Source organism: Homo sapiens, chromosome 8 (genome assembly GCF_000001405.40).
Source record: "Homo sapiens chromosome 8, GRCh38.p14 Primary Assembly".
In the NCBI taxonomy this organism is placed as follows: Eukaryota; Metazoa; Chordata; class Mammalia; order Primates; family Hominidae; genus Homo; species Homo sapiens.
The window spans coordinates 69,780,402-69,793,599 of NC_000008.11; the positions used below are offsets into that span (position 1 = coordinate 69,780,402).

Genomic DNA, 13,198 nt, shown 5'->3' on the forward strand with positions numbered 1-13,198 from the left:
AAAGTGCATATCAATGGAGGACTGGATAAAGAAAATGTGGTACATATACACAATGGAAAACTATTCAGCCATAAAAAATAACATTGTATCTTTTGCAGCAACATGAATGTAACTGGAGTCCATTATCCTAAGTGGAACAAGCCAGACACAGAAAGACAAATAGCACATGTTCTCACTTACAAATGGGAGCTAAATAATGTGTACACATGGATGTAGACTGTGGAATGATAGAATATGGAGATTTGGAAGGGTAAGGGTGGATGGTGGATGATGAGCGATTACTTAATGGGTACAATGTATGGTATTTGGGTGATGGATACCCTAAAAGGCCTAATTTCATCACTATGCCATCTATCCATGGTATTACCCAATTACCTAAGACACCATAAAATTATGCTTGTAACCCATAAATTTATACAAATAAAAAAGAAGCATACAGGGCTCTGCTACTGAAAAAAAAAAATCACATCAGAGCGGAAAATCTCAAAATATTTTTGGAGCTGTTAGTAGCAGGAGGCTTAAAAGCATTCTAAATGAAAAAGAAGCTCATTATTAGATTTCCTTTTCCAGTTTCATCACTAATAGGCTTCCATAAGGATGGCAGGGAAATGTACATTATCTGGAAAATACATGCCAAATATGTTGCATACCATTTACTTCAGTAATTACGGTGAAGCCTCAGAAGAGCATACCAGCTGTTAAGAGCAGCTTCAACTTACCTCCTGGGAAGGCTGAGTCACTGCCAGGAAGCACCTTCCAGGTCAACAGGCATCTGTGTGACACACTGTACTTTCCAGGCACTTGAAGAAGCATGATTTCCATTGGAAAGATCCAGGCTCAGAGCAACACCAAAGCACAAATGGAACAATGTCTTGTGCAAAGTCCCTGCAGTCATTGGCATCACCATGGCCATCCATTGGATTTTATAGACATTTGAGTGATATAAACCCTTTAGGACACCTTTAACACTACCCTGTTTTTTGCATCAATCCACAGGAGTTAGTCTTGGTACACTTTAAGTAAGGCTGCCTGCACTAGGGTTCCTTGTAAAGTTTATTCTTGAATTCAGAGACATATTAGTAGTCAAAGTCAACAGTCATTGAGAATAGAACTGTTACTATAAGATAACATTGGGCATTTGTTGTCTGTAAGATACTGTGCTAAGGCCTTTATATGTATTTTCTTATTTAATCTTCACTTCAACCTTATGTAGTAGATACTATTATTATCCTTTTTTGTTTTTGTTTTTTGTTTTTTGTTTTTTGTTTTTTTTGAGACAGAGTTTCACTCTTGTTGCCCAGGCTGGAGTGCAATGGCGCGATCTCGGCTCATCACAACCTCCACCTCCCAGGTTCAAGCAATTCTCCTGCCTCAGCCTCCCAAGTAGCTGGGATTACAGGCATACACCACCACACCCAGCTCATTTTGTATTTTTAGTAGAGACGGGGTTTCTCCATGTTGGTCAGGCTGGTCTTGGACTCCCGACCTCAGGCGATCTGCCTGCCTCAGCCTTGCATAGTGCTGGGATTACAGGCATGAGCCACTGCGCCCGGCCTATTATCCTAACTTAAAGAATTTTTCTTTGTCACCACTTCATCAATGAAATAATATAATAAATTCATCTGAATTAAGAATAGATAACATCAAACACCAGGGCCTGTCAGCGGGTGTGGGGCAAGGGGAGGGAGAGCAATAGGACAAATACCTAATGCATGTGGGGTTTAAAACCTAGATGATGGGTTGATGGGTGCAGCAAACCACCATGGCACATGTATATCTACGTAACAAACCTGCACATTCTGCACATGTATCCCAGAACTTAAAGTATAATAAATAAATAAATAAATAAACATCAAAAATTATAAGTTATATAAAAAGGTTAAAAAAATAGATAATCCAGCCTAGCACAGCGGCTCACACCTGTAATCCCAAGACCTTGGGAGGCCAAGGAGGGAGGATTGCTTGAGACCAGGAGTTCAAGACCAGCCTGGGCAATATGGCAAGACCCCATCTCTACAGAATTAAAAAATTAGCCAGGTGTGGTGGCATGCACCTATGGCCTCAACTACTCAGGAGGCTGAGATGGGAGGATATCTTGGGCCCAGGAGGTCAAGGCTGCAGTGAGTCATGTTCTTGCCACTGCACTCCAGTTTGGGAGACAGAGCAAGACCCTGTCTCAAAAAAAAAAAAAAAAAAAAAGTAATCCCTTTATTTTTGTTATCTGACAATAAGAAAGAGAACTTATAAATACAGTTTTACTTACTAAGTTAACATGCCTAAGCCTTTTGTATTTTTTCTATCACACAACACTTCAATTTATAGCAGTAGAAAAAAATTCTCATTTGGAAGGTGTAGTCGTCTACAGTCTACTCTTATGAAAAAGACAAAAGTGCCAAATGACCCATCTAATACCAGGCATTTTGTTTTAAAAATTTTTAAAGTAATATTCAGTTTCCTCAGGGCAATTATGACTCAACTCATATTCAAGAGGTTCGTAAGAGTATTGGCTTCAGCATCAGCTGTCTGTGTAGGTCTCTATCAGGGACTGGCTCTGTGATCCTAGACAAGTTACTTAATCCCACTAGATGTGCTTCCTCATCTATAAATAGTAGATCATAATTTATCTACTTCCAAGAGTTATTGAGGGGAGTAAATGAAACAATGTACATAAAGCCCTTCACACTAAATGCTCATCAATGTCAGCTATAACAATGATCATTATTGTTACTTCTATTATTATATATAACTTTATAGTTAAAATTATTATTCTGAGACCTTGCCAGACTTTAAAATGTCTTCAGATTAATGGGTACAAAAAAATATAGAAAGAATGAATAAGACCTACTATTTGATAGCATAATAGGATGACTATAGTCAATAATAACTTAATTGTATATTTTAAAATAACTTTTAAAATGTGATTAGATTATTTGTAACTCAAAGGATAAATGCTTGAGGGGATACCCCATTCTCTATTGTGTGCTTATTTCACATTGCATGCCTGTAGCAAAACACCTCATGTACTCCACAAATATATACACCTACTCTGTACCTACGAAAAATTTTTTAAATGATTTTTAAAATATAAAAATTTTGAATTTTAATTTTAAATTTTAATTTTTAAATTTTAAAAATTAAAAAAGGTATCTTCATAAAAGGATGATGATGATGATGTCAATTTTATGGTTAAGTGTATTTTTTTTGTACCAAAGTCTTTGAAAATGGAATTTGCATATCTGGTTGTCAGATAATTGGAATTACCCAAAACACCCCATTCCCTAATCATTAATCAATCAGTAGTTATTTGGTGAAGTTATACTTTTAAAATATCTTATGTTAAATATTATGAGTGAAAAAGAGGGCCATGCCCCTTCCTAAAAAGAGTGTGTGACCTATACGGAGAATGAAATGATAATTGCGGTGGAGATACATCATTATACATTTGTACAAGCCCATAAGATGTACACCAAGAATGAATCCTAATGTAAATTATGAACCCTGGATGACAAGGATGTGGCAATGTAAGTTCATCACTTGTAATGAACCTACTTCTCTGGTGGGACTCTTCATAATGGAGGAGGCTATGCATGTGTGAGGCAGGGAATACACGGGAAATCTTTGTACCTTTCTCTCAATGTTGCTGTGATCCTAAAACTCTAAAAAATAAGATCTTTTTTTAACCTAAAAAGCTACACCTAGATTAAAGTCTATTTTTTAGAAAGGCAAGGCCAAAGTTTGGGAGAAAATATTTGCAAAGACTCATACCCAGAATACCTAAAGAGTTCTTACAATTCAATAATTAGAAGATTAAAACACTAATGGAGAAAGGGCAAAAATTTTGGACAGTTGTATCACCAAAGAAGGTATCAAGATGGAAAATAATCTATGCAAAAATACTTAACACCATTGATCATTGGATAAGTGCAAATAAAAGCAATAAGATACCACTATCACTAGAATGACTAAAATTAGAAAGACTGACCATATCAAGTAGTAGCAAGGATGTGGAGCAACTAGAACTCTCATACATCGCTGGTGGGAATGCATAAAAGTACAGCCATGATGGAAAATAGTTTGGTAGTTTCTTAGAAAGTTAAACATACAGGCCAGGTGCGGTGGCTCACGCCTGTAATCCCAGCACTTTCGGAGGCCGAGGCGGGTGGATCACCTGAGGTCAGGAGTTTGAGACCAGCCTAGCCAACATGGTGAAACCCCATCTCTACTAAAAATACAAAAATTAGACAGGCATGGTGGTGTGTGCTTGTAATCCCCGCTACCCAGGAGGCTGAGACAGGAGAATCGCTGGAAACTGGCAGGCAGAGGCTACAGTGAGTCAAGAGTGTGCCACTGCACTTCAGCCTGGGCAACAGAGCAAGACTCTGTCTGAAAAAAAAAGAAAGAAAGAAAGAAAAAGAAAGAAAGAAAGAAAGAAAGAAAGAAAGAAAGAAAGAAAGAAAGAAAGGGAAGGAAGGAGAAAGAAAGAAAGAAGAAAGGAAGAAAGAAAGAAAGAAAGAAAGAAAGAAAGAAAGAAAGAAAGAAAGAAAGAAAGAAGAAAGGAAGGAAGAAAGAAAGAGAAAGAAAGAAAGAAAAGCGAAAGAAAGAAAGAAAAGAAAAGAAAGAAAGGGAAGGAAGGGGAAAGAGAGAGAGAGAGAAAGGAAGAAAGGAAGGAAGGAAGGGAAGGAGGGAGGGAAGGACGGAGAGAGAGAGAGAGAAAGAAAGAAATTTACCATATGACCCAGCAATTCCATTCTTAGATTACCCAAGACAAATTAAAATACATGTTCACACAACTAGTGCTAGAGAGCATCTCAAGTGGTTTTGGAGGCAAAAAGGGGGTGGAGATTGCACAATGGCACAAGCAGACATTTTGGGTGATGGAAACATTATCATGATAGTAGTGATAAATATAGGACTATAGATATTTGTCAAAGCAACCAAATTCTATACTTAAATTTAGTAAATCTTATTGTAATTTAAAATCATATCTCAATAAAATTGATGCAAAAAAATATAATTATTGACATAAGTTATTCTATGATAAATGCCTAACAGTGGTCCCAATAACTATAGACTTCAGGAGACAGAAAAGGAAGAAGAGAATGAATACTTATAAAGTGCTTCCTGTGTGCTTTCTAAACACAATAGTAAATCCTGCCAACAAGTTATCTGAAATATAAGTTTAGTTAGTTTGCACTTTGAAGAAGCTGTCTGATCTTTGAAATAGTAAGAAATGTACCCAAGTCACAAAACTAGTAAGCAGTAGATTCAAACCCAAGTCTGACTTTGAAATCCAAGTACTACACTATACCACATGGCTTCCCAAGTAATTTAAATACAGCCACAAATGAAATCACACTTTAACCCAACAAATATCAAGAGCAAACCATCCAAAAGAAATCAAACCACCATTGCTGCTCTCCTAGCAGAAGGATATTAATATGTGCAACAGCCAAATAATACATAAGAAATCTCAACACCAAGTCCTAATCTTTTAAATAGAGAATCCTGAATAGTCATAGAAGCTATTATAATATTCAGAGCAAAGTTATTATAGAGATGTTTGCATAAATACACTATGTGAAATTTTCAAATTCACTTATACATTTTATCAAATTCTCAAGGACATTTCTGGAGTAATCTCATCAGTTATAGAGCATTAATTCTGATGCCTGACCACAGATGATATAGTTATTATGTAATATTTAATAGTTCAAAATGGAAAGTTAATATACTTCTAAAAATACCAAAGAAACTTGTATATAAAAATGTCAACTGTGATCACCAAAAATTGCTTCTAGATGTATCTAACTATCTCATACTCTCTTTAAGAGTTCTGCATTTCATATCAGGGATGGCCTGAATAAGTAACATTATTTCATATGTGACAACTGTTTAGCTTATTGTCAATGATACAGATTTATCATGATCTTATAAACCTCATGATCCATCCAATCCCTCAATTTTTAACTACTTTCAGGAAGTTTCACCAATAGGCAAATATGCTGAGGGACAAAAAAACTAATACTAGGAGCATTTTAAAAAATAATTATATGCTGTCCCTAGCAGGCTTCAGTGCTTAAGCTACAACAATTAATGTGATGTACCAAATTTTCACAAGTGCAATGCATCTTAGCAGCTCATCTAATGGAGTTTGGGTAATACTATTCATTAGTAAGAACCCTTAGAAACAATCCATGATTTTGTTCTCCCCAAGAAAGTGATCTTTTCATGATTTGGCAAATGTGGGCACACACACACACAACAACAACTTAATAGTTGTTTTTGTAGTCATCTATAAAATGGAGAGCTAAAGTACATACTTGGTCATCTAGAATCCCTCAAAAAATTATCTTGCGTAGAACTGTCTAGGTAATTGAGGAAAATGATGTCTATGTCAAATATTTGGAGAAAGCTCTAAATTAATGAATACTTTGACTACTTAAACAGCCTGAAAGAAATTAAGTAAAAGCCTTGACAACTCAGCCTAACAAAATAGGGAATAGTTAAGGATCCATTCCAATAATTTTGGAAGAAAGAGTGAAGATGCATTTAAAATGTTAGTAGATTGAATTTGCAAAGCTGTCTGCATGGCAGAAGGCAAGGAAACCTGTTTGTAACCCAGGGCTGAGCAGCTGCCCCCTGCTGACTTGTCCTCATCCCTTCCCCATGAATGCAGCCAGAGTCTCACATCATCACCCACAGCATGAAATCAGAAGGAGCCTTACGTCATTTCAACTCGTGGCATCTAGCACTGACATATCAACCTCTTCTTACAAAAAGTAACTTTATTCTTTCCAACCTCTGATACATTTCTGACCAATCAAGATTCAGACCTATACGTGGCCTAAATTGACAAATGATTTTCCCGCATTGGAAGTGCTTCAAATATATAACTTTCTCTTTATGCCACATGATCGTTGCAATTGAGTAGTGTCCGGCCACTGACCCGAAAGAAGCTGTTAGTTTTGCAGACAGCCCTAGTTATCAGCATCCTCATGTGCTTATGCACCATGGTAATGAATCAAGGTTGCCCGGTTTGGATGATAACATGACTTCAGGTCCACAATCCCTCAGCCTAAACCCTTAAAGCTGGATGTGTCTTGGAATTAAGAATTTTTCACATTTTACAAAAGTAAAATGGTGCCTGAGGATGTATGTTATGTAACATCCCAATGAAGTCTGGAATGGCATTCCAAAATCAAGCACACTAACATTTCTGCAACAAACGAACAAGTATTCACACTAAGTATGATTTTGAAAATAGCCTCAAATCAGGTCAGGTTAGGCTTTGCCATCATGTGAGTTATGAACTAACTATTGGATCTCAAAGCTTTTAGCAGAATATAGAAGTCATAGCAGAGGAATAGTAGCAGTGGAAAACCATTATGAGAACTGGTATATGCAAACAGATGCCAGGCACTAGCTATACATGATCTCCTTAATCTCCCCAACAACCTTGAGGTCAAAACTACTTTCAAGAGGGTGTTCTACACAAACTGACTTAAAAACACTCTTTTTACAATGTACATGATATATAAATGTTTTAAACCCCTCTCCCAAATCATGAATCAAACCCAATATTGTTATTAGCCCATTCTTTTACCGGCTTTCTCATTTTGAATGACATTTCTGTTCTTGATTATAGGATTTTAATCTCATTAGAGTCCTACATAACAAATCCAGAGGTAGATTTAAAAGAAAAAAATCACACAATTTCAAATTATTTCAGGAGGGCAACCCTGAGATTATTCACTAGTTCAGCAACTCAAACCAAAATTACACACTAACAATTACCCCATTAAGGAGCTTTGCTTCCTTTTGTGAAGTATGCTCATCCCATAAGTGTGAAATTTATGTTTACTCTACCATTACAAGGGAAAACTTGATTTAAAAAAAACAAAAGACTGTACGAGAGCTCAAGGTGTTAATACGGAATTGGATGGTAATCTGCTGAGTCTAGGACTTGTATACTGAGACCTGTGAAAATCTCGTTACCTATCTTAGCCCACAGTCTCCATATGCAGCTCAAGTGACCCTCAGTCTTCCTAGCTGTGTATTCTACATTTAACTTACTAATTTGGATTCGGTCTTATCCAAATCATGCCAACTCAGCTTGCAAACTCCTCACCCAGATTACATCTTGTGGAGTTTTTATAAACATATTACTCTAAGAATTACTAACATCATAGTATATGAGGCTAGAGTGATATGATAATCACCCCTCATATCTCCAGTAAACAATTCACTCTAACAACCTTGGTATAAACTGATTATACATATAATTATCATTTTTAATGTTCATCTTGTTCAAACAATGAATTAGATACTATAACAATATAATGCATTAGCATTTTATTCTTTAAGATGCTTCCCTACTGTGTACCTTAATTAAGGAACAAGGAAAGCATCCCAACTAAATTTATAGTCTTAGTATAATCTAAAATTATCTTCTCACAAATATGAAAGTCTTTGCTATTGCAAATGTCTTAGGTTGAGTTCCTTCAGAAGCCAAACCTAAAAGATTTGAATGCAAGTAATTTGGCATGATTCTGGAATCCACGTCTACTGTGCTTAAGGATACCACACCCTGTGCTGATTCTTCTAAATACTATCTGTCTCTGAAATATCCCCAAACATATGTATTTATTTCCACACATATAGTCATCTGTTTCAGTATTGTGTGTGTGTTCATCCCCCAAGAAACAGAACGCATTCTCAAGCAGTAAAACCGACCCAGGACACAACACTGTGCCTCTTGGCTAATGGGCCTCAGCTACTATAGAGCACCATCACCTTCAGCCAATCTACCAAAGCAAATATGTCTCCATATTGTTGGCTTCTCTTTTATCCATTTATTTTGTGTTTTGTGAACAATTTTGACCCATACTGTCCCAAAAATCAGTATGCAAGTAATAGTGCTGGATGTGTGACAAAAATTAAAACCTAGGAGAATAAACCTGAACATTGATAGGCAAGATGTTTTAGCTTCCTAGGCAAGAAGTGTTATCTCCCTTGAGGCATCATCAAGTAAGTGGTCAAAGACAGTAAGGGTCTTCTATGTGGAATCATAAAAAGAGCTCAAATATTCAGAAAGAGAATGAAACAGTGGTTACCACCTGTTGGGTGGGGGAGTGGCCGGGGAATGGGAAATGCAGGTCAAAGAATTCAAAACAGCAGATGTGTATGATGAACAAGTTTAGACATCTATCGTACAACATGAGAACTAAAGTTAATAAAATTATATTGTATGTCAGGGTTTTTTGTTAAATAAGTGGATTTTAGCTGCTGTCTTATCACCAAAAATTAACTATCTGAGATGATAGATATGTTAATATCCTTCACTACTGTAACTTTTCTATTAATATATGTATCCTACAACATGTTGTAAACCTCAAATATATACAATAAAATTTATTTTAAAATAATAAAAATATTGACAGTACAACAGAGTGACTATAGTCAATAATAACTTAACTGTACATTTTAAAATAACTAAAAGAGGGTAATTGGGCCGGGCACGGTGGCTCAAGCCTGTAATCCCAGCACTTTGGGAGGCTGAGGCGGGTGGATCACCTGAGATCAGGAGTTTGAGACCAGCCTGGCCAATATGGTGAAACTCTGTCTCTACTAAAAATACAAAAATTAGCTGGGCATGGTGGTGGATGCCTGCAATCCCAGCTACTCGGGAGGCTGAGGCAGAAGAATCACTTGAACCCAGGAGGCGGGGTTGCAGTGAGCCGAGATCATGCCACTGCACTCCAGCCTGGGCAACAGAGCGAGACTCCTTCTCAAAAAAAAAAAAAAAAAAAAGGAGTGTAATTGGATTGTTTGTAACTCAAAGGATAAATGCTTGAAGGGATGTATACCCCATTCTCCATGATGTGCTTATTTCACACTGCATGCCTGTACCAAAGCATCTCACGTACCCCATAAATATATACACCTACTATGTACCCACAAAAATTAAAAATTAAAAAATGTAATAATAATAATAAATACTTAAAAAGTGGGAGAAACATATTTGTAACATTTATCTCACCTAAACACTTAATATCCCTAATAAATTTTAACTATTAAAATTGAGGAAAGAGAGCCAGGTGTGGTGGCACACACGTGTAGTCCCAGCTACTTGGGAGGCTGAGCTGGGAGAATCACTTGAGCCCAGGAGTGTGAGGCTGCAGTGAGCTATGCTTGTGCCTGTGAATAGCCACTGCATTCCAACCTAGGCAATATAATGAGACCCTATCTCTAAAATAAAAAAAAAGAATAATAATTGAGGAAAGAAACTGTGATACGTGCACACATCAGAATAATATGCGGTTTTAAACTACAATGAACAAGAGCAGTATGAACTAAAAACAAAAAGAATCAAGGACAGTGAAGGTGAAGATCAGCAGTCACATGGGATTGGTAAAGGGAGACTGCTGACATTCTGAGGGCATCATAAACACAACTGCTGCCCAGGAAGACTGAGTAACAACTGAGTGAGTAGAACCAGAAAGAAAAAAGGCCAGAGGCATACCATGACTTCAGGGGATTTGAAGAGAACAGAGAGCTGTTGCCAGGACTGCCATTGTACAAACAGCATATTCCCTTCCAATGTTACTTACATAGAAAGAAGGAAAGGAGGGAGGAATGGAGGGAGGAGGGAAGAAAGGAAGGAAGGGATGAGGGAAAAGAATAAAGGGCTGGAATTTCCCCAGGCTGTCAGAGGGTGCAGAGCTGAGGCTTCTTGTAACTGTCCCTCTGTTCCTGCAGCCTAAAGGTCCTCTGATCACATCCCCTTCCTCCCTCATTCTTGGCTAGCTGAGCTCCCATCACCACCCACCACCTGGGTGTTCTAGGGTACATTTCAAAGGAGCAGAAACTGGGGGCAAGAACATGCACGGAGCCATCCCAGCATGATCGCTCTGCAGGGACAGAGAAACGTGAAACCTCTGCAAAACCAGAATGGCAGCAATCATGATAAAATGAGTAGACACTGTAAATCCAAGACATGGATGTACTGAGTCAGGAGATAAGAGATTTGAGGGAGGGACACTATATTGTTAAATTACAGTCATTAAAAATTGTGCTTTGTTTGTTTAGAAGAAAAATATTAAATTCATGACAAATATTTAATACATTTAAAAATATCTGAGATGTAATGTTTCTCTCCTTCCAAGTCTGCAGTGCTGCTCCGCAGTTTTCATTTGACACAGCAAGTACACACGTGCCAGAGGCTGTGTTAGGCACTGAGATCATGGAGACGACTGAGAAATAGTAACTTCCCTCAAGAAGCCCAGAGTCCAGTGTGACAGCATCCAGGTCATTAACAACAGAAGCATTTGCTCTGAAACTAGGATTTTACTAACTGAAGCATTATTTCATTTTTAAAATCCTATACCCAAGAATTTAAAGACCTTCTCTAATAAGTGAATTACAGAAGGCTTGCTTTGGAAGATATTCAAGCAAATATTGATCTAACCATTAAAAGAAGCTCAGACTATCAGGATAAACAACATTATAAATAGTAAAGTCAAAACAAAGTCAACAAGGAAAAGATCCAAGTCAAAATTCTGTCTTTGCTTTTAAATAAAATGAAGTATTTTTATTCTAGCATCTATTTTTATCAAATATTAGATATATTAATCCATCTGCCAATATCCTAGCTATTACCCATCTTCTTCTGTAGAGCACTGGGGTGTTAGAAAATGTAAGCACCCTTAGAAATACTATAATTTAGTTGGAGAGAAGAAACAGACAACAGAAATGTTAAAAGATATAGATTAATACCATTTCAACATAAGAAAATCTCAAGCCAGTGTGTGATTAATGGCCAAACAGAGCAGTGCTATCGCAATTCACAAAGGAAAAAAAAAATGAACATTTCAGACAAGTGTATATTAAGGCAAGATCTTGAAGGACAAGTAAAATTTGGGCATAAAGGGGGCAGGAGGGCAAAAGTGCTCCTGTACAGAAATATGGTAGGAAAAGACCGTAAATAAGGTAAGGAGTGAATTATTTGAAATAGCAGAGATAGAGTAATGTGGACAGCTTTCAATGTCGAGCCAGGAAATTGGATTTTGTCCTCGGCAATGGGGAATATAAGGAGCCTATGCCAGTGTTTGAGCAAAGGAATGATATAAGGTGGTATTTTAAGAGCATTTGTCTGGCTTTACTATGTAAGAATTAAAAGGAACCCGATGGATAAGAAAACTCGATAGTCCAGACATGAAGTGGTAAGGATCAGAAGTAGGCTGGGACAGTGGACAGTAGTGTGAGAGGTTTAGGAGAAAAGATTCATAAGACTTGATAAGTTATTAGAGACCAGGAGATTCACTGGTCTCAACAATAGGTGGCCTAGGGAAAAAATATCATTAATGAAATTAAAGTCAAGATGCAAGACGTTTCAAAGTAGATGAAAGCTAATGGAAATAGGTCATAAAACGGAGGTAAAAGCACTAATCATAGGACTTAATGTAGTGAGTGGTATACTCTTTGGAAAAAAAATCATAGTAAATATACTGTTTTGGGGTTTTTTTAAGGTTTTTTTTCGTTTGTTTGTTTTTGTTGTTGTTGTTGTTTGGTTTTTTTGTTTTTTGTTTTTTGTTTTGAGACGGAATCTCACTCTCTGCCCAGGCTGGATGGAGTGCAGTGGCATGATCTCAGCTCACTGCAGCCTCCGCCTCCTGGGTTCAAGCGATTTTCCTGCCTCAGCCTCCCAAGTATCTGGGACTACAGGTGCACACCACCACACCCAGCCACTTTTTGTGTGTTTTTAGTAGAAACGGGGTTTCACCATACTGGCCAGGCTGGTCTCACACTCCTGACCTCAAGTGATCCACCTGCCTGGGCCTCCCAAAGTGCTGGGATTACAGGCGTGAGCCATTGTGCTCAGCCAATAAACTGTTTTTAAATAATATTTTTTTTCTAACTATAAAGTAACTTAAGTTCAGTGCACACAAATTTGGTATCAAAAAAAAAATCCAAAGAAATAAAAGTCATTCAGAACCCTACTACCCAGAGATGGCTACTTTCACACATGTTTATCCTTTGAGTCTTTTTTTTCCTATGTCAATAAAAATAATAATAATAATAGAGCTGACATGGTGGCTCACGCCTGTTATCTCAACACTTTGGAAGGTTGAGGCAGATGGATCAGCCTTGGCCTATCCTCTTGAGGTCAGGAGTTTGAGACCAGCCTGGCCAACATGGC

At 37.4% G+C, this 13,198-nt stretch overlaps 1 protein-coding gene across 3 annotated transcripts in view, besides 1 other annotated feature; it reads right to left on the reverse strand.

The window, feature by feature from the left end:
* SLCO5A1 (solute carrier organic anion transporter family member 5A1) overlaps positions 1-13,198 on the reverse strand; it is a 167,933-nt gene that overhangs the window by 113,356 nt on the left and 41,379 nt on the right. The gene's annotated exons all lie outside the window — the stretch shown is intronic.
* Positions 10,413-10,707: a silencer, noted in NCBI's record as "tiled region #147; HepG2 Repressive non-DNase unmatched - State 24:Quies". NCBI's record gives its function as "represses a minimal TATA promoter and a strong SV40 promoter by Sharpr-MPRA in HepG2 cells {active_cell/tissue: HepG2}" and the evidence as "EXISTENCE:reporter gene assay evidence [ECO:0000049][PMID:27701403]".